We start from the raw sequence: 20,843 nt of genomic DNA on the forward strand, positions 1-20,843 counted from the left end.
TCCTGGTGGCCTAAGACTTTAAAGAAGAATATGCTGACTTTCTACAGCCATTATTTTTTACTGTGCTCTTTCTGTTTTATTAAATCTCTGTGCAGATAGTAAATTCCTAGGATGCATTAAAAAAAAAAAAAAGAAAGAAAGAAAAGTCTCATGAAACTCCAAGACCTGAACTCATGACACCTTCTGGGTTGGCGCCTACTGTTTCATTGGCCTCGCTTACTTTCCTAGTTCAGCAGAAAGTGAACATTACAGTCAGGTGGCAATGTTTCTGAGTAGGCTGCTGGAACCCGAGGAGCTTTGCGTACATTTTTGCGCCATGCTCACATTATCCCAGGATCATCAGTCCTGGCATTAGCCCCGTTTTGTGGAGGGGAAAGCTGAGCTTAGGGATCCACCCAACACATGCCATCTGAATTGAGATCTCACTCTCTTCCCCACATTGCCGCATCTCTACACATGGTGTGGAGAGACATCACATTGTTGCCTCTATACAGCATAGCAAGATCTGAGGTTGGCTGAGTACTTTCTGTTCTCAGTGCTGCGTTGGTTGGCTGGGGCTGCCATCACAGATCACCCAGACTGATCGCTTCAACCGGAGAAATGCATTTTCTCATAGTTCTGGAGGCCAGAAACCTGAGGTCAGTGTGTCAGCGGGGTTGGTTTCTTCTGAGACCTGTCTCCTTGGCTTGCAGATGGTCATCTTCTTGCTGTGTCTTCTTACGGCTTTCTCTTTGTGTCAGTATCCTCACCTCTTCCCATAAGAACAACAGTCTTGTTGGATTAGGGCCACCCTAATCTCATTTTATTTACTCATTTATTTTTTTGGTAGAGATAGGGTCTCACTCTGTCTCCCAGGCCAGAGAGCAGTGGCAGGATCATGGCTTGCTGCAGCCTTGACTTCCTGGGCTCAAGTGATCCTCCCACCTCAGCTGCTTGAGTAGCCGGGACCACAGGCATGTGCCACTACACTCAATTTTTATTTGTATTTTTTTGAGACAGAGTTGCTCTGTCCCCCAGGCTGGAGTGCAGGAGTGTGATCTCGGCTCACTGCAAGTTCCGCCTCCCGGGTTCCTGCCATTCTCCTGCCTCAGCCTCCCAAGTAGCTGGGACTATAGACGCTCGCCACCACGCCCAGCTAATTTTTTGTATTATCAGTAGAGGCGAGGTTTCACCATGTTGGCCAGGATGGTCTTGATGTCCTGACCTCGTGATCCGCCTGCCTTGGCCTCCCAAAGTGCTGGGATTACAGGCGTTGAGCCAATGCGCCCAGCCTGCTAATTTTTATTTTTTGTAGAAATGGGGTTTTCCTGTGTTTCCCGGCTGGTCTCAAACTCTTCGGCTCATGGGATCTTCCCACCTCAACCTCCCAAAGTACTGGGATAACAGGCATGAGCCACCATGCCTGGCTTTCCTTTCAGCTGAATTAACCTTTTTAAAGACCTGTCTCCAAATAGGTCTCACAAATATGTCTCACATTCTGAGTTGCTGGGGGTCATGATTTCCACAAGTGAATTTTGGATGCACCCAGTGTAGGCCGTCAAAAGTGCTTTGCATGTTATTTAATTTGTGTCGTCTTGACAATGCTCTGTGAAGTAGATACCGCTGTCAGTCATTGATGATGGTTGACCTATCAACCACGGATGAATTGAGGAAATGGAGGGAGGGAGGGCAGGAGGGTTTACATAGAAGGTGGGATGTAGGCATCAGCGGGATTCAGTGCTGACTTCCCCTACGGAAAATACTATAAGTGAAGATTAATTCTTAAACCCCTATCAACTCACTGTGTCATGGAATGATTTAGGAAGACGAGGATATGGAAAATACCAGGATGGTGAGGATTCTCTCCAGGCAAAAGATGTTGCCCCACCCTTATTAAGAATGGAGTCATTAACTCCAAAAGGGCAGTGAAACCATCATGTGGGTACTGTATTTGGATTTGGTGCAAATGTGTATCTATCCAGGTACATATTTTTGCACCCAAGCCTTCGTGTTTCAATGCTTAGGGGTAGTAGTGATGATGTCCATACCAGGAAAACATCTTTCAGTGCTCCAAGCAGCTGCCAAAAGCCACTGGCCCAGCATCTCCTGGGAAGAATGAGGTTCTTGTAACAACACAGACCTTGGCCACGTGTCAAAAGTAAACATGGCTATGGGGAAATGGAATTATCTGGGTTATCTGAAACTTTGCCAGAAGCATTGTTCTCTTATTCCTGAAAAATGTGTTCTTCATTAAAACCATACATGAATCACATTTTCCCCAACGTTCTCAGCAACCAATTCCACTTGGCATCGATGATCCACAATCTACAGTGTACCTGCTAGGCTCTAGTTATCAAAAACAGTGTTTTGACAGTAATTATGATGCCAAAGCTCCAAGTTTGAGATGTTAGGCTGCTTTGGCTTGTTATATCTTCTGTTTGTCATGCTTCTCAAAATGGTGGGACATTAATTATGCATAATTAATTAGTTATGTTTAGTGTCTGTCTTTTCCACCAGAATGTAGGTTCCATGGGGTAAGGAGTCTTGTGCACTGCCCTCTACTCAGTACCTGGCGTAGTAAGCCCTTGGTAAATAATTGCTGGATGAATAAACAAATCCATTGAATTACAGAGTTAGGTCATCGGAGATCTTCGTTCATGCCTGTGGAATTTTTAGAAGTTGACTCTTGTCCTTTTCTCTAGTGGTACTTTTTAAAAAATCCATTTATTTGCTTAGACCAAGGGTTGGCAAACTTCAGCCCATAGGCCAAATCCGGCCCGATGCCTGTGGGTTTTAAATAAAGTTTTATTGGAACACAGCCACACCTGTTCATTTATGTATTGTGGCTTTCCTGCTACAATATCAGAGCTGAATAGTTGCAAGGGAGACTGTGTGGCCCTCAAAGCCAAGAATGTTTACTGTTGGCCCTCCATATCTGGGGGTTTTGCATCTGTGGATTCAACCAACCTCGATTCAAAAATATCCTTACGTGTACGATGGCTGCGTCTGAACCCAACATGTGCAGAGTTTGTTTTCTTATTGTTTCCTAAACAACACAGTATAACAACTCTTTACATGGCACTTACGTTGTATTGGCTATTACAGGTAATCTATAGACAGTTTGAAGTATATGGGAGGATGTCTGTAGGTTATATGCAAATACTATGCCGCTTTGTATGAGACTTGAACATTCATGGGTTTTGGTATACGGGGGAGTCTTGGAACCAACCCCTCATGAACACCAAGGGATGACTGTGCTGTCTGGCCATTTCAGAGAAACTGGCCAATCCCTGGCTTAGTCTAAAGAAAGCCACCAGTGAAGTGAGCAGTCTCATGGGGGCATTATGGTGTTGGCCTGAGAAGAGAAGGGGTGTGGTACATCTTATGGGGTGACTGTTTTCCGTTTCCCAGTGGACAGGACTCTAGTGGATTTCTTAGGGCAGGGGTCCTCAAACTGAAGGGTGTGTAAGAATCACCTAGGCAGTTCCTCAAAATGCATTTTCCTGGGCCCTTCCACAGTCAGTGATGTACTGCACTGAACAAAACAAAACAGAGAAAGTCTCTACTCTCAGCGAGTTTCTGTTCTAGTGGGAGAACACTCATAATCACCAAACAAACATGCATGGCCATGCTAAGTGCTGGACAGGCCCATGAAGACTTTTCTGCATCTTTACCTACACCCTACATGGTACAGGTGCAGGTGGCCGGAGGACCACATGGTCCCAACTGCTTTCTTAAAGCCTCTGATAAATTCTCACCGGTGCCTTCTTTTGTTCCCGCTACACTGGTTACCCCTTCCCCCAGCTGCTTGTAATGTCTCTCTCTCTTCTCCCTACCTCCTTCCCTTTTTCTCTCTCATTTGTTTTCTTTGTCCTTCCCTCCCTGTGTCTCTCCTGCTCTTTTTCTCCCCCATCTCTCCCTCTCAATCTGGTTGAGAGTTGAAGTCCTCAGATGGCAAGAATCCTTCACTGTTTATAAAGGCTTTTGGAAAAACGGCTCTATTGAGATATCATTCATATACAGTACAATTCACCCATTTAGAGCATACGATTCAGTGGTTTTTTATTATTCACAGAGTTGTGCCAACATCAGCACAATCAACTTTAGAACATTTCCATCATCCCCCAAAGAAATCCCATACCAAGGCTTTTGCAGACTATTTGATTTGATCCTTACAGAACTGAGAAGAGCAGGGCAGATGGTGTCCACCCCATTTTACAGAAGAGCAAATAAGGGATTAAAGAGTTTGGGGATTTGGAAAAGCAAAGGAGAACATTTTAGGTCACTTTTAATACTCGAAGGTTTCAAAGAGTCCCTAAAAATAAGGCCTTTTAGTGACTCTCCTGCTACCCAGAGACTCTTTTTGAGACGGAGTCTCGCTCTGTCGCCCAGGCTAGAGTGCAGTGGTGTGATCTAGGCTCACTGCAAGCTCTACCTTCTGGGTTCACACCATTCTCCTGCCTCAGCCTCCCAAGCAGCTGGGACTACAGGCACCTACTACCGTGCCCAACTAATTTTTTTTCTTATTTTTAGTAGAGACAGGGTTTCACCGTGTTAGCCAGGATGGTCTGGATCTCCTGACCTCGTGATCCGCCCGCCTCGGCCTCCCAAAGTTCTGGGATCACAGGCGTGAGCCATCGCGCCCAGCCACCCAGAGACTTTTAAAGCTCGTACCCAGGTGGGGAAAAGCTCCTGAGAACCCCCTGAGTTCCTGGGATTTCTAAAGCACAGGTTCATGTTCCTCATCCCCCACCTGGGAGGCACAAGGACAGTGTCTGTGATTGTGTCTGGCTAATGGATTCCGACTGCCAGCCACTAGCTGAAGGGCGCTCTCAGCTACTGCAATGCATATGCATCAGGCTAGCTGGCTTGGACACAGCCACCAATGCGGGGTGACAGGTCTTTGAGCTTGCCTCAGGGACCCTTCAGGAAGCTCATATGCTGAGTGCCAGGTGGCATCACAGAGCTCTTATGGCAGGATGGGGGGACAGAGAAAGCTGCTTGCTGAATGGCTCTGGGAGATGAGAGGGGCTGTTTGACCACTTGGAAACTGCCCAATAGGTTTATCTGGTGCCAAACAGCAAAATGCACGGTCTGTAGGGACCCCACCCGGATTTGGGGCCGTGTGATTGAGGGTGACTCTCGGGCCAGAGAGCCTGGCACGAGAGATACCAGCAGTCACCCTCCATAGGCGGCTCTGGATTCTATTTAAAATGGGATTCAGGGACATTGCACAGAATGCAATGAAATGGACCCAGCGTTACCATTTTGCATGTGAGCCATCTTTCTCTTTCTTACCAAAGTGCACTTAGTATTGTCATTGGCTAGGCTTTACTGGAAGATGAGCCCCCCAGAACAGGGCAGGATATTTTTTTTTCTGTATCCCTAGGATCTGTAGCAGGACCTGGGCGTGGTAGGGGCGTAGGAAGCATTTGTTGAATGAATGATGCAATGGAGTCTCTGAGGGTGGTCCCCAGCTGTCAGGGGCTGCTCCACTCTGATGCTCACTGCAGTTCTCAGATGAAGAGACTGGGGCACAGAGAGGTCAAGAACGTGGCCATGGGTCACACAGCTCCTCAGGAGTCTGGTCGGGATTTGAACTCACTGGTGTGCCTGACCGCTGCACCGTTCTTCATAACCAGTCAAGTTTTGCGGAGGAGTTTGGATTTACTCTTTTAATATTTTTTGTTATTTATTTACTTATTTATTTATTTATTTATTTATTTTCGAGATGGAGTTTTGCTCTGTCACCCCGGCTCGAGTATGGTGGTGCAATCTTGGCTTACTGCAACCTCCGCCTCCTGGGTTCAAGTGATTCTCCTTCCTCAGCCTCCTGAGTAGCTGGGACTACAGGTGCCCACCACCATGCTCAGCAAATTTTTGTATTTTTGGTAGAGACAGGGTTTCATCATTTTGGCCAGGCTGGTTTCAAACTCCTGACCTCAGGTGATCTGTCTGCCTCAGCCTCCCAAAGTACTGGGATTACAGGTGTGAGCCACCGTGTCCAGCCCTGGATTTACTCTTTAATATCTTATTTTATTTTTTTGAGATGGAGTTTCACTCTTGTTGCCCAGGCTAGAGTTCAATGGCACAATCTCAGCTCACTGCACCCTCCGCCTCCTGGGTTCAAACTATTCTCCTGCCTCAGCCTCCCATGTAGCTGGGATTACAGGCATGTGCCACCACGCCTGGCTAATTTTGTATTTTCTTTTTAGTACAGACGGGTTTCTCCATGTTGGTCAGGCTGGTCTCGAGCTCCTGACCTCGGGTGATCTGCCCGCCTCGGCCTCCCAAAGTGCTGGGATTACAGGCGTGAGCCACCACACCTGACCTCTTTAATATTTTGTGTCCTCCAACTTATCCTCTGGAGGAAGGATGGCTCAGAGTTCTGGAGGCAAGCAGTCAGAGATCAAGGTGTTGGCAGGGTTGGTTTCTTCTGCAGCCTCCCTCCTTGGCTTGTGGATGACCGTCTTCTCCCTGTGTCTTCATGTAGGCTTTCTGTGTCTGTGTGTGTCTGTATTTTAATCTTCTCATCTTAGGAGGACACCAGTCAGGTTGGACTGGGACTCACTCTAATAACCTCACTGTCACTTAATTACCTGTCTTTCAAGACCCTGTCCTTGATAGCAGTCACATTCTGAGCTCCTGGCGGTTAGGACTTTAACATATGAATTCTGGCGGAACACAGTTCAGCCCGTAGTGGACCCTAACCAAAAAGATCCTGGAATACCCCTGTTCCTTCCTCTCCAAAATCCTTTGTTTTCAGCCTCTTCTCCCGCCATGGGAATAAGGTGTCAAATGTTGACACGAGCTCCGATATTCATCAGTTCTAGACAACTGGTTATACTCCCGTGCTTTGGGAGGAATGAGTTTCCTTACTTTCTGGTGATAGATCTTGTGACTGGGACTGAAGGTTCAACCAGGGTTTTAAAAAAAAAAGCTCAACTCTCTTGCTTTCCTTGGTGCCCTTCTGAGCACATTTGAGCAATCGTTTTATCCAAATCATTTTTTTTTCTATAAGAAAGAATTTTGCTTAATTGGGTCTCATTTCTGTTCTCCCCTTAACAACTGAACATCTACATTTCTGTTGGGATTGAAAGCCCCAGTCAGTTCAGATAAATCAGCTTCCTTTTAAATTATGATCTTGGAGGAAATAATGATCTAACTCACTTTTTGTTAATTACTTTTATGTGAATTAGACATCCCGGCTTTGCAGTTGCTGCTTTCCTCAGAAGTATTTAAGCCCTCAAATCTATTTAAACTTTTTCTTTTTACTTAAATTAAGATGCTGAAAAAATCCACCATTAGAAATTATTTGGGTAAGTTCAGCTTCATGGCTCTGTAATTTTAAATAATTTGAGCTGAAAATGATTCTATCATATCCCATGTAGTGGCACCAAATTACCATCTTCTCTTCAAGATTTTCTCATGTTATTGGTGTGTCAGACTTAGTAAATAAATAAATAGAACAAAAGGTAATGAATGAAACAGTCTGGTAGAATTGTAAAACAGAAACCAAATTGTGTATCCCACATTCAGCAATTTTGCCTTTTAACCATAGTGATCTTGGGGTGTGTGTGTGTGTGTGTCCCAAAGGGGGAAAATAATCATTTGTAAAGGATAGAAAATGCTATTGCTTTGAGTACAAAGCAATAGATTACAAAATGAATAATTTAGGGTTTTTATATTAAAAAATCTCAAACCTTCAGTAGAGAAGCGACAACTTTATAATAAATAAGCAACAACCTTATAAATAACAACAAACTAAGAAGGGGATTGATACCCCAAAGTAGAAGTACAGTTGCCCCTCTGTATCCACAGATTCAACCAACTGAAGGTTGAAAAATAAAAGAAACAGTAAAAATAATACAAATAAAAAATACAGTATAACAACTATTTACATAGCATTTACATTGTATTGAATATTATAAGTAATCAAAGATGATTTAAACTATACAGGAGGCTAAGCATAGGTTCTATGCAAATACTGCACCATTTCATATAAGGGGGTTGAGCATTCATGGATTTTAGTATCCACAAGGGGGGTCCTGGAACAAATCCCTCATGGATATGGAGAAATGATTGTGCCTAATTAAAACTGGTGAGAAGAGGCCAAAGCAGCATTTAGAGGCATTCTTATAGCCTTAGGTATTGTCAGGCCTCTTCTGCCATCAGAGAGAGGAATTCCTTATATTTTGAATATTAAGTAAAGTAGTATAAGGGTGATGGTCTGTCTCTGCCCACCCCACCCCAATTAGTAAAAATGTTGTACAGTTAGAGTTTTGGTGCTGGCTCACAGTTTAGTGTCTGGCATTGGGTAGATACCCTTATATCAGATAGTCTATTGAGAAATACATTGCAGCCCAGTGTTTGAGTTGAGGACTTGGGAGTTGAAAGAATCCAAGAATTGAAGTCTCTTCTACCATGCAAATGGTGATCCTACCTGTGATACCAATTATCACAGACTAAATTCTTTTTCTTTTTCTTTTCTTTTTTATTGCTTCTTTTTATTGGACCCTCTGTATCCTGGGCACATTCTCCATTGAAAGCTCAGTCAAAAGGAGCTCTGAGTTTTGGGGATAACTGATATAACCATAGTGATCACCATAGTGATCATGCTGTGTTTGTTTAGGTTTCTAGGATCTGGGTTAGGGGAAGAACGCTTTAGGTCAGCCAAGTAGTATTTGGGCTCTAGGAAACAACTCAAACATAAAGTCTGAACTGCTGAACTGTCCTAGAGTTATTGCTCTGTCTTCATCTGCAATAAGAGCGAAGATACCCCAAGAACCCACAGCTGAGACAGCTGCTGGGATAAATGATGGAAGAAGCCTTGCTATTACAGTCCTTGATATCAAGCCAGGGTTGACATAGCAGTCTCTTGCTTTTCACCTGCCAAGTTCCAAGGGCAGGATTTTATATCCCCAAGAAATATCAAATTTGAGCATCCTTATGGCTGAAGGGAGATCTCATGGCACCCTTGTCTGTCCTATTCTACATGGGCTATGATGAGTGCTGTAGCATCTGACCTAAGCTAAGTCCTAAGACGTTAGTCCTAAGTCAGATCATGTACCAGGGAATCTTGTAGCTTTGTGTGGATAGCAAGTTATGGCTGATGCCAAATGTCAACAGAGTAAACTGTGAGTGCGATTAAATGTCTTTCTAATGATGCCATCCAGGCCCCAAGCACCCATCGTAGGGCAAACAAATGCACCAGAGCAGCAGTAAGCAATCAAGAGAAAAGAAAAAAAGTGATGCTGTAAAAAGAAGAAGCTATTTTACTCTTCATTTTCCACTTAGAACATATTGAGAGTACAGGGCTGGATAAGCAACCTGAATTCAACTCACAGAATGTAAATTCAAAGCAGAAGTGATTCTAGAATACCTTCCCTCTATCCCTACTCCTCCATCTTCTAAGGATGTACCAGTATGATGTTCAATATTTAACAACATTTAGGGCTCAGGTGCTAGTCGCTCAGAATGGATACAGCAGCTAACAAGAGCAGACCCAGCTATAAACCCACACAGCTCTGCCGTGGTCAACCAGGACTGCCAGTGGTATAAATCCTTTGTGTCTTCAGGACATTGGCTACCAGTTTGTAGGGGACCCTGTGGTCCTCATGGACCCAAAGCCACTGCCCAAAGAGGGCTTCATGGACCATTTAACTACTGGATAACTCAGTAGCAAAGGAAGAATGGAGTCTAATGTCAGAATAATACCTGAGAAGCTGCTTTAGCTTAGGACCAATGCCTTCTGGTTTCCACAAGAGATCTTGTCCGTGGTGCCTGCTTGGGGTCTTGGTATGATAATAGTTGCTCTGAGCCTTGGCTTTTTATGTGCTTACCTCCCTTCCTTTCAGCTTAAGGTTGTGTTTCTCCAACTCTTGTATTTCAGCCGAAGGACCTGACGTCAGTGGTGAGTGCTTTCTGTTCAGTTGGAAGCAACAGAGCCAAATGGCTAAGAGGGTAGGTTTGGAGTCCATTAGCACTGGAGTGAAATTCTGGCCTTGAAGCCCACTTTATGTCTTCTTGAGTAGGAAAGTACCCATCTTAGGGTGTTGTAGGGAGGAGTCAGTTAGCTGATGTTGATCAAGTGCTCATCTCACAGGAGAGCTCCGTGCCTGGTGACTGCTGTTATTTGGTTGGGGATAGGATCTCTCTATGTCCTGGGAGGTGCTCTTTGCAGGAGATCAATGCAGATACATATCAGGATTCTCTGTTTCTTTCCACCTATCTTTATCCACTTCTCAAAAGTCATTTGAGGCTCAGAGGCACAGAGGTATGGTGCCTTCTGCAGGAGTAGAGATCAAGGAGGAAGCATAGGCACTTTAGCTGGGTGTAGTGGCTCATGCCTGTAATCCCAGGACTTTGGGAGGTCAAAGTGAGTGGATCACCTGAGGTCAGGAGTTCGAGACCAGCCTGGGCAACATGGTGAAACCCTGTGTCTACTAAAAATACAAAAATTAGCCAGGCATTGTGGCACATGTCTGTAATCCCAGCTACTCAGGAGGCTGAGGGAGGAGAATCGTTTGAACCCGGGAGGTGGAGTTTGCAGTGAGCCAAGACCACGCTATTGCACTCCAGCCTGGGTGACAGAGTAAGACTCTGTCTCGAAAAAAAAGAAAGAAAAAAAGGAGAAAACTTTGGGACCTTAGACATCAGATGTGCCCCACCATCTGATTACAAAAGTTCTTCAATCTCTGCCTGCAGGCCACGTCAGGACCTTCAGAGCACTGGCGGGTGGCTTTCATGATACTCTTGATGGAAAGGACTGAAGTTTCCATTGATTGGTGGCAGTGCCCTCATCAACCAGCGTTTCCCAGAGAGAAGCCAAGCCGGCTTCTTATTCTTTTTCTATCCTGATGGACGTGGGCTTGTCATTCATACCCAGGCAGTATCTGGAGGGCCAGGCTCTAACTCTCGCCTTGGACTTCAATTGTTGGAAAAAAGGCAATGAGGGAGATAGAGTGTGTGGATGAGGAAGTCATTTCAGAGGGGAGCAACTTGAACTTTACATGTTTTAGTTTGCTGATGTTTAATGACCAAATATGTTTTTTTTAGTTGGTTTCTGATGTTATTTTCTCCATCTATTCCAAAACAGCTGCAGAATGGCAACATTTGACATTTAAGAAAGGGAAAGTGGGAGTGGTGAAGTGATTCCCCTTGGAAGGGTCGCACTTGTATCTAGAGGTTGTCCACAACAGATGGCCAAACCAGTCCCCAAAACGTGACTGTTGGCACTCAGAGGTGCTGCATCTACATTTGAAACAATCTAAAGCAAAGCAAAGAAAACTCAACCGGTCATTGAGTATGTCGGAATTTGCTCTGATGAAGGTGATGAGGTTGATGATGATGATGTTGGTGGCTGATGTTACTGGTCAGGGTCTTAGAGGCTCTCTCCAATCCTCATGCACATTTAAAAGTCTCTCTTCGGGCAGGCGTGGTGGCTTACGCCTGTAATCCCAGCATTTTGGGAAGCCGAGGCAGGTGGATCACGAGGTCAGGAGTTCAAGACCAGCCTGGCCAATATGGCAAAACTCCATCTCTATTAAAAATACAAAAATTAGCCGGGTATGGTGGCGGGTGCTTGTAGTCCCAGCTACTCGGGAGGCTGAGGCAGGAGAATCTCTTGAACCAAGGAGGCGGAGGTTGCAGTGAGCCGAGATCGCACCACTGCACTCCAGCCTGGTGACAGACCGAGACTCCATATTTAAAAAAAAAAAAAAAGTGTCTCTTCTATGTATCCATTACATTTTGACTTCAGTTTTAGGTAATTTATTGCAGACTCCTTTGCCCTTCTGCATTCATGTTTCCCACCTCCTAGAACGGAAGCTACTTGATCATTGCCTTCCCCTACCCTCATTTTTTGTACTTAGTATTGAGTTTTGGCTCTTAGGAGGTGCTTACTGAGTATTTATTCAATGAAGTGTCCAGAGTCTGGTGAAAGGAAGTTGAGCATTGTCTAGATGAGCTTTTCTCTTACAAAGTCAAAATTTGGCCAAAGGCAGCTCCCATTGTAGGATCATTTTCTGGGATGGACACTGGGGTGTTCACTAGGGTCAGGTGAATGATAGAGTGGAGACAGTAGAAATGGCATCCCCAAGTAGGAAAGAAAGGTTAAGCCTCCACCTGTTTGCTCTCTATAAGCTTCCGTCTAAAGATCTCACAGGAGGATTGGATGTCTGAGCTTTCTTTTCCAGTCCTACTTAAGCTAGGAAGCCAAGGAGGGCACAGAGGTACCAGAGGAAGGGCATCTGTGTGTGCCCAGAAGAGGCCTCTTCACAAAGGACACAGGATGCAGGTAAGCTACTTCATATGGTACCTATCACATGTATGCATTCAGTATACTAAAAATAATTATTATTCTGTATTAGAGACGATGTCATGAGACAACTAGCCACAGTCTGATGAACGAGAGTAAGGATGAATATGGGAGTTACACCTGCTGGGTTCCCAACCCACATCAATCTCTGTGTCCCTTGGGCAAGCCCTTTTACCTCTTGTAGCTGTTTCCTGGTCAACGTTATTTGACCCCCTTAAGATGGAGATGCTAATAGCTACCCTGTATGTTGTGGTGAGAATCAAATTAAGCAGATGAAAAGTGCATAGCATAGTGACAGCTCAGTACATGAGAGCCATCATTTTTGTTGTTGTTGTATTTTTCAGCAAGGCAAGGGCTTTGATGTCTTGTAGGAACAGTTGAATTTTGGCTTCATGTAATTACACACAATATCAGCGGTGATTTATCTGGAAATAGCACTCACCTCCAGGCCCTGTCCACGAGCCACCTAGCCCAACTATGTTTATTTGTCTTTTGTTTTGGAGCCTATAAGGGCATATTGGGAAGGTTTAATACAGCCGCATCACTGTGATTTAGTGAGCACTTACTGTCCCGCACATGCTGCTGTGATAACACTTTACAAAGTGGTCATGAATGAGCCTTCCTTCAAACCTGTGAGGTAGGTACTCTTCCATATAAGCTGGGAGAACTGCAGCACACAGAATTTCCGTAACTTTCTCCACTGTGGCTAAGAAAACTGGGCTGGGAACACAACCCAGGTCACCTGATTCCTGGGCTTGCAATCTTAACAACTCCTTTTTTTTTTTTTTTTGAGGTGGAGTCTCACTCTGTCACCTGGGCTGGAATGCAGTGTTATGATCTCAGCTCACTGCATCCTCTACCTCCCAAGTTCAAGTGATTCTCCTGCCTCAGCCTCCTGAGTAGCTGGGACTGTAGGCACCAGTCACCATGCCCGGCTAATTTTTGTATTTTTAATAGAGACGGAATTTCGCCATATTGGCCAGGCTGGTCTCGAACTCCTGACCTCGTGATCCAGCTGCCTCGGCCTCCCAAAGTGCTGGGATTACAGGTCTGAGCCACCACGCCCAGCCAACAACTCTTTTACATCAGTGCAAGTTGGAACATTTTGAAGCTCCCACTCTTCTCCCTGGAACCACACACTTCTGGTTTCTTTTCTCATTCCAAAGCATAGGTGCTCTTTTTGTAAAAAAACTTTCAATAGTTTTAGGGTTACAGGTGGTTTTTCATTACATGGATGAGCTCTTTAGTGGTGATTTCTGAGATTTTGTTGCACTCATCACTGGAGCAACGACTCTCTACCCAATATGTAGTCTTTTAGAAAATATTCACAAACTGTGTATCCGACAAAAGACTGACATCCAGAATCTACAAGGAACTCAAATCAACAAGAATAAAAGAAATAATCCCATCAAAAAGTGGGTAAAGGGCTGGGTGTGGTGGCTCACGCCTGTAATCCCAGCACTTTGGGAGGTCGAGGTGGGTGGCTCACCTGAGGTGGGGAGTTTGAGGTCAGCCTGGCCAACATCGTGAAACTCCGTCTCTTCTAAAAATACAAAAATTAGCCGGGCGTCGTGGTGCATGCCTGTAATCGCAGCTGCTCAGGAGGCTGAGGCAGGAGAATGGCTAGAACCCAGGAGGCGGAGGCCACTGTCCTCCAGCCTGGGCGATAGAGTGAGACTCCGTCTTAAAAAAAAAAAAAAGTAGACAAAGGAAATACATAGACAGTTCTCAAAAGAAGATATACAGACACCCAACAAACATACGAAAAAATGCTCAACATCCCTAATTATCACGATGCCCATTTGAAGGCCAATTGTGAGCTGTTAGCAAGCCCACCTTGAGTGTAATGGTGTTTCCTCTACTGCCATCTAGAGGACACAGACTCAAATAAGCGTCATTAGTTGCAGTTTCTGAGGTCCAACTTCCAAATGATCCTTACCCTTTACCTTTTATAGCCACTGGCCTCACTTCTTTGCACATAGCAAATTCAGACTTGTGTACATCAGTTGGCAAATTAACATTTTGGGTATTGCAAATTTGATATACCTGACAGCTACTGGTTCAGTACTGGCAAAGCCTGAAGTCTTGTCCTTACAGCAACGGTAGTGCAATCATTTGACTATTTATTTTCACTTTCTCCATACTTTATACAGAGTGGAAAACAAGCAAATTAAAGTACTGATACAAGTGATAAAAAGCAGTGGTCTCAAATGTAATTGAGACAAAAATAGGGACAATTTAACTGTAATTGGACACTTACTCATTTAAGCTAATTAATCATTTTAAATTGCAAAGGGAGTAAACAAAATTAAAGAACTTGTACAAAATGCTAAACATATTTTTTTTTCAAATACCTAAGTGTGATTAAGGATACATATCTATCCCTTCTGGAATTGAGCCAGTGTAAGTCAGGATGGTTTCAGTGACAGAAACTATTTCAGATCATTTAAGCTGAAGGAAAGTTATTGGTCAGAGAGGAAGGATCATAGATCACTCGGAGTCAAAGAAGAGTTGCAGGAGGCAGCAAATTGGGATGGGGAGCCAGGAGTCAGGGCCCACCAGCGTATTCTCTCCATTTCTCTTTCATTTCTGGCTGACTTCCTTCTGCAGACAGATTCTGTCCAGATGGCATAAATGGTGGGGGAAATTACCATCAGCTCTTTGGCTTTCTAACCTCATATTTGGCAACATCATAAAAAAGAGAATCTTTTTACTCACAAGTGTTTATATGTCTATTCCAGGACGGATTCTGATTGGCTCTCCTTAGATCATGCACCTTCCCCTATACCAATTACTGTGTACAGGGGAGGAGAGTCACCATGATTGGTCAAGACTGGGTCATGTGATCAGGGTCAGGCAGTCTCAGAGTCTATTACTAAAATAAAAGAGATGGAGGGGAAATATGCTAGCCAGCCCCAAATGGGAACTAATACAGTGTATCACTGAACTACACTGCTCCTCCTCATCTTTCTTTAACATTTTCACTTTTGACTTTTCTGCATAGTTACATTCCATTTAAAAGAAAATCTGTTTGTATTGATGGTCAGCCATCTGACAAAAGTCTCAAGCTACTTCATTCTATTGACCTCACTGAATAAATTGAATAAATAATTTACATTCTACACAGGGATCATACAAAACAGTTTTGGCATGGAGGGAATATGCAGCCTCCTAGCCTGTCCCTCTCTCTGAATGTGGTTCTCTAGGCAGCAGAGTAATGGCATATGTTGTGAACACCTGGTGGCCTCCATTCCTCATGGAGTTAAGCTGAAAGTTAAAGAGAATGAAACTAGGGCCGGGGACTGGAGGGGCTTCATTGATTAGAGCCTTCTGGCTTTGAGTGACAAATGTGTTGAGATGTGAAGGAGAGAAATATGTATCCCATACAGATTTGCTTTTCATGTAAATAAGCGTTTTAGCCTCAAACTTTCTGGCATCTCATTATGCAGGTGGCTTAGTCATTGACATGCATGCAATTTGCATTTCCCCCTCTCTATGCCAAAAGTTGAGAGACTGTAACTTGGCTAAATTACATATCCTGGGTGCACCAGTAGACTGCCATCTTGGGTGCATTTGTAAATACTGAGGGATAGATCAAGCCAGAGCAGGACTCAGATCCTGTTGATTTGTAGCACTGGGTTTTTTTTGGAGGATTTTTATCCTATTTGATTTCTATCATGCATTCCATTCATTTTTCGTGTTATAGATACACCAGCTAGACAGGTCTAGGATGAAGGGGTGATATCAAAACTATTTAACATTCCAGGTGCAGTGGCCCATGCCTGTAATCCCAGCAATTTTGGAGTCCAAGGTGGGAGGATTTCCTGAGGCCAGCAGTTTTAGACTAGTCTGGGCAACATAGTGGGACCCTTTCTCCATTTAAAAAAGAGAAAAAAAAAAGGCTGGCATGGTGGCTCATGCCTGTAACCCCAGCACTTTGGGAGGCAAAGGCGGGTGGATCACCTGAGGTCAGGAGTTCGAGACCAGCCTGACCAACATGGTGAAACCCCATCTCTACTAAAAATACAAAAATTAGCTGGGTATGGTAGCAGATGCCTGTAGTCCCAGCTACTCTGGAGGCCGATGCAGGAGAATCATTTAAACCCGGGAGGTGGAAGTTGCAGTGAGCCAAGATTGCGCCATTTCACCCTAGCCTGGGCGACAAGAGTGAAACTCTGTCTCAAAAAAATTAAATAAATAAAAATTAAAAAACCTATTTAATAACCAGTAAGTTGTGGACACTTTACTGGTTATTGCAGTGTATCAGAAATAATGCTGGCCAAAGCACTGGATGAGAATCTGAAGGACTCCTCCCGCTCATGGGGCCAGGCATTAACGTTTTATTGGCTGGGTCATGGAGATGGCCAGTGGCAAGGTCAGGGTTGTCATGTTTTTCTGACTGGGATATCAAGATTTTATTGGCTCATGAACTGGGCAGCTACTGTGGCACATAGCAGCTTGACAGCCAACTTTCGTACTCGTAGGAATATGAATCTAGCAAAATTCTTGGTAGACCTGAGATCATACCCTTGGAAGGGCCATCTAGGGAACTCCGGGCAGTGGACCAGGTGAGACCGCAGGGTTGCCTTCCAGAGCTATTCTTGCTTGTTTTTATTTTCAAATGGGAATTTGATTTAGGACCGGCCTTTGGTTTTCCCCAGACCTGGGAAGTAAACATTTCTCATTCTCAAAACCCACAAATTAATCATTTTTGCAAATCAGAGCTGAGCTCTGAGCCTCTGACCAGGAGGCCTGAGCCTGCTGGCCTTGGGAGCCAGGATTTGCCAGCGTGCGCTGCTAATCCATATGCATTTGTTCTTCTTGTGGGAGTTCGGGCCCCTCAGGCTTCAAGGGGTGAAGCTCTGCTCACTAATCATAATGCAATATCAGTGTTTTCTGCAAATCCCCTTATTATCTCTGCATCATTAGCAGTTTCTGAGCTTGTCTACAACTAATTTCACAGTGAATCTTATTTCTACCTGATATTTTAAATAAGCTGTCACGCAGGGCAGCAGCTGACATGCCGCTGAGAAAGAAGCAAATCAGCCTAAAGTAGGCTTTCAAGCAGCCTCCAACAATTAGGCTTTGGGCCATCGTACAAGGTGGGAAAATGGGGCAAGTGTCTAGAGCAAACCCTGCCCCCTACCCCAGTTTAAATAAGTCATGTCTTAGTAGATAGGTAAGTGGTCTCCAGAGCTAGGTTTCCAGGGGGCTCATTTCTGCTCAGCTCCTTCCCACAGGTGACCCATAGCGAGTGAATTGATGTCTCTGAACTTCAGACAGTAAAGGAATAAAACCTCCTCATAGGGTTGTTGTGGGCTTAGCAAGCTAATGTCTATAATGTGCTTAGTGTGATGCACCTAGACTATTGAACACCTAGTGTATCCTCAATAAATCTAGTTTTAATTGCTGTTCATATGTTTATGAATTAAATAACAAGTTACCCTTTTGTGCCTTGGGTTTTTCAAGGCCCTGACACCATTTGGGCAGTCTCTACTTCTGATGAATCCAGTAGTTCCCCAGGGAGGCAGATGGGGAAGGATCCCTAAGGGTGGAACAGGAGATGTGTATATCCAGGCAACAGGAAGAGAGAGCTCACATTCCCATGCTGAAGACCACCCTCCCTGGTAGTGTGGTGAGGAGGGAGGGCCACAGGGCTTAGCCCCACTCTGGATTCCAGGGGCCTCTCCTACCGCCTTAGGTGAAATCTGCTACTCCCTGGAGGAAATGACCCTGTTTCCTTGGCCAAGCACCAAGCCTTCTTTTGAAAAATGCCTAGAGGTCCAGTGTTCTCAAGTATTTCTACTCTGATGATGTCGGAAGTCCCCTGACTATTCTTTCCTTTGGATAAAATGGGCAATCCCCCATCTCATACGGGAGTTCCTTTTCTAAATGACTGAAGGCAACAAGAGATTAATCTTAGAAAATATTACAGAGAAGTTCCCATTCATAGATACAGTGCTGAGCATTTTACATATGTGATTATTGACTAGCCCTGTGGAGGGGGTGCAGTGGCAATTGTTACTGTCATTTTGTAGCTAAGAAGAGTGAGGTTTGGAAAGGTAGCATAACTTGCTATCAGCCACCCAGACAGGTGGAAGAGCCTGGGGTCCAACCCACACATTCTGGTTGTACCACCACTTTTCTATCTTGCCTTATGACACAGAGGTGATTAAAGATGCTAAACGTTGTTTGGTACTTGACAAGATGGTTCCAGGACACACAGCCCTAGCAGGGGGAGGGCTTCTGGGGAGTAACCATGATGATTGAATAAGCTGGTGTTTCTAGGGGCCTCCATTGCCTCTTACTTTTCCCTCTGCCTGCAGCTGCTAGGGATACTCACCTGCCACCCCCAGTCCCCAACAAACACAGTGGCATCTTTGGGGCCTAAAGGAAGGGTGGAAAAGTGGGGTTATAGGAATGGGATTGTGCCTCTACCTTCTTTATTTACATCTTGTATTCATAAGTTTTTATTCACTGTAGATTCTAGATGGGGAGGATTGGAATGGGTTAAGGAAGGGAATAGAATTTCCATTCCCTGTCTGTCCCCACAGACACTGGCTCTCTACATCATAGAGCTTGAGTAGGATCCTGTACTGGTTCAGAGACATCTGAGGAAGGGAAAAGAGCAGCCTTAAGTTCTGGGCTGAATGGGCTCAGAGAAAGCCATGAGGGAATGTGTTTTGGCACTTGTGGTTCCTCTGTGTGATAGCCTTCTTCTGAGCAAACTCCTGTGTATCCTGTGAAACCCAACTCAAATGTCCCCTGCTCTGTGATTCCTACAGAAATGCCATTCTCTCCTCCTGCAGGTTGTCACAGGAGGAAGATACTTTCTCAGAAGAAGTGGACCTCCTAAGAATGCTGAGCTTTACTCTTGTCCTCTTCACTAACCCCACCTTCTCATTTTCTTAATCTGTGAGATTTCCTAGATACCTCTACTCTAGAGACTAGGTTCTTTTGCTCTGATCCTGCGGTACAATACAGTTTTATTAGTCACTTGAACTTGCTTTTGGCTTCCTCTTGCGTGATACGTTCTAGAATTGTGTGCACACATTTCATCTATGTACGTAAGGGAATGCCCCCACTAATTGCACAATTGTGCTGATTAAAAAACCACATAAAGGCCTGAATTTCAAATGTCTCTGCTGTTGTCTCAGAAGCATGGCCCTTGGCAACATCTCATCCACAGTTGTATTTTATTTTGCCTGCAGAGTTGTTAAAATTTTGGATTACTTGTCAATGTTTCAAAGCTGGGAGGTTCAACAGAAGTCTTGATATGAATCAAGACTTCTTTTGGAAAGTGAGAAGGCCTCGGAACACTGGGTCCATGTTCCTACATAACACTAGTCAAATGGGACTGAGTAGTGGCTTCCCTTTTAGAGGGAGCAAGAAGTGTGTTTGCCACACTCTCCATCACTCTCTATCATCTCCTGAACATCAAGTGGCAGGGTCAGCATGCATTCATCATCACTGTAGTGCTGCTGTCTCTCTCTTTCAGCCTTGCCTCACCCATGCACATGCCTACCAGGCTGTAGGTGGCTGAGGTGGGAGGCTGCTCGGCATTTGGGCGGAACAAGATGACTGAATTTACTGGAGTGTCTGGCAAAGAGTGGGTGTGGTTTCCAGTCCCCTGGGCTGGTGTCGCTCTGTTCTCTTTGTTATGATTGTGAGTTTCTTCATCTTGTGCCTTTGAAGCCCCACAGCATTTGATTAGTTATGAGCTATTTTCTGCTAAAGCATGAAACATTGTGCTAACCAGGCAAGCTGAGCATCTCTTTTACTTTTCTCTGCCCAGAGCCTTGTTTTCTGATCAGGAGTGTTCACTGGCACTGGACTGATTTTCCCCGTGGTGCTGGGTGCTGCATGTGATAAGGATCTTGTGGCTCACCTTTGAGGCACATGCAGGTCAGGGAAATAAGAAAAAGGTAAAAGAACCTTCTGTAGCAGCTGAGGGGTAGAAGTGGCCGCTTACCCAGGCGTGTGACTGGGGCCCCTTCCTCAGCATTGAGCAGGACAGCATTGCTCTCTGGAGGACTGCTCATTTCCAAAGCACCCAAGAATCTATATTAATGAAGGGACATTTTGCAGGAGCGTTCACTTTAGCCATCGGTCTGAAAGTACTGTGAATGGGAGAGAGTATTTAATTTTGCACATGCACACAGAGACACATGCACCTGCACATTGGCACAAGCATGTATGCACATGTACATCATGCATGCATGCATGCATGCACATATACACATGCACACCATGCACACATACACATGCACATGAACACCATGCATACACAGGCACACACACATGTACACCATGCACACACATATATGCACACCATGCATATACATGCACATACACACATGCACATACACACATGCACATACATGCATGCCATGCATACATATGCACACACATACACAGATGCACACCATGGATACACACATGCGCATACATATGCACACCATGCATACACACAAACACATGCACAGCATGCATACACATACATGCATACACACAAGCACACCATGGATACACACCTATGCACACA

At 44.7% G+C, this 20,843-nt stretch overlaps 1 protein-coding gene and 1 non-coding gene across 5 annotated transcripts in view; both read left to right on the forward strand.

The window, feature by feature from the left end:
* The window catches only part of RBFOX1 (RNA binding fox-1 homolog 1), a 2,473,620-nt gene that overhangs the window by 380,148 nt on the left and 2,072,629 nt on the right, over positions 1-20,843 (forward strand). The window lies entirely within an intron of this gene.
* Positions 12,599-12,698, forward strand: MIR8065 (microRNA 8065). Its single transcript, NR_107032.1, has one exon. It is a non-coding gene; the product is annotated as a microRNA 8065 (primary transcript).

The sequence above is a fragment of the Homo sapiens genome, chromosome 16 (assembly GCF_000001405.40).
Source record: "Homo sapiens chromosome 16, GRCh38.p14 Primary Assembly".
Classification (NCBI taxonomy): domain Eukaryota; kingdom Metazoa; phylum Chordata; class Mammalia; order Primates; family Hominidae; genus Homo; species Homo sapiens.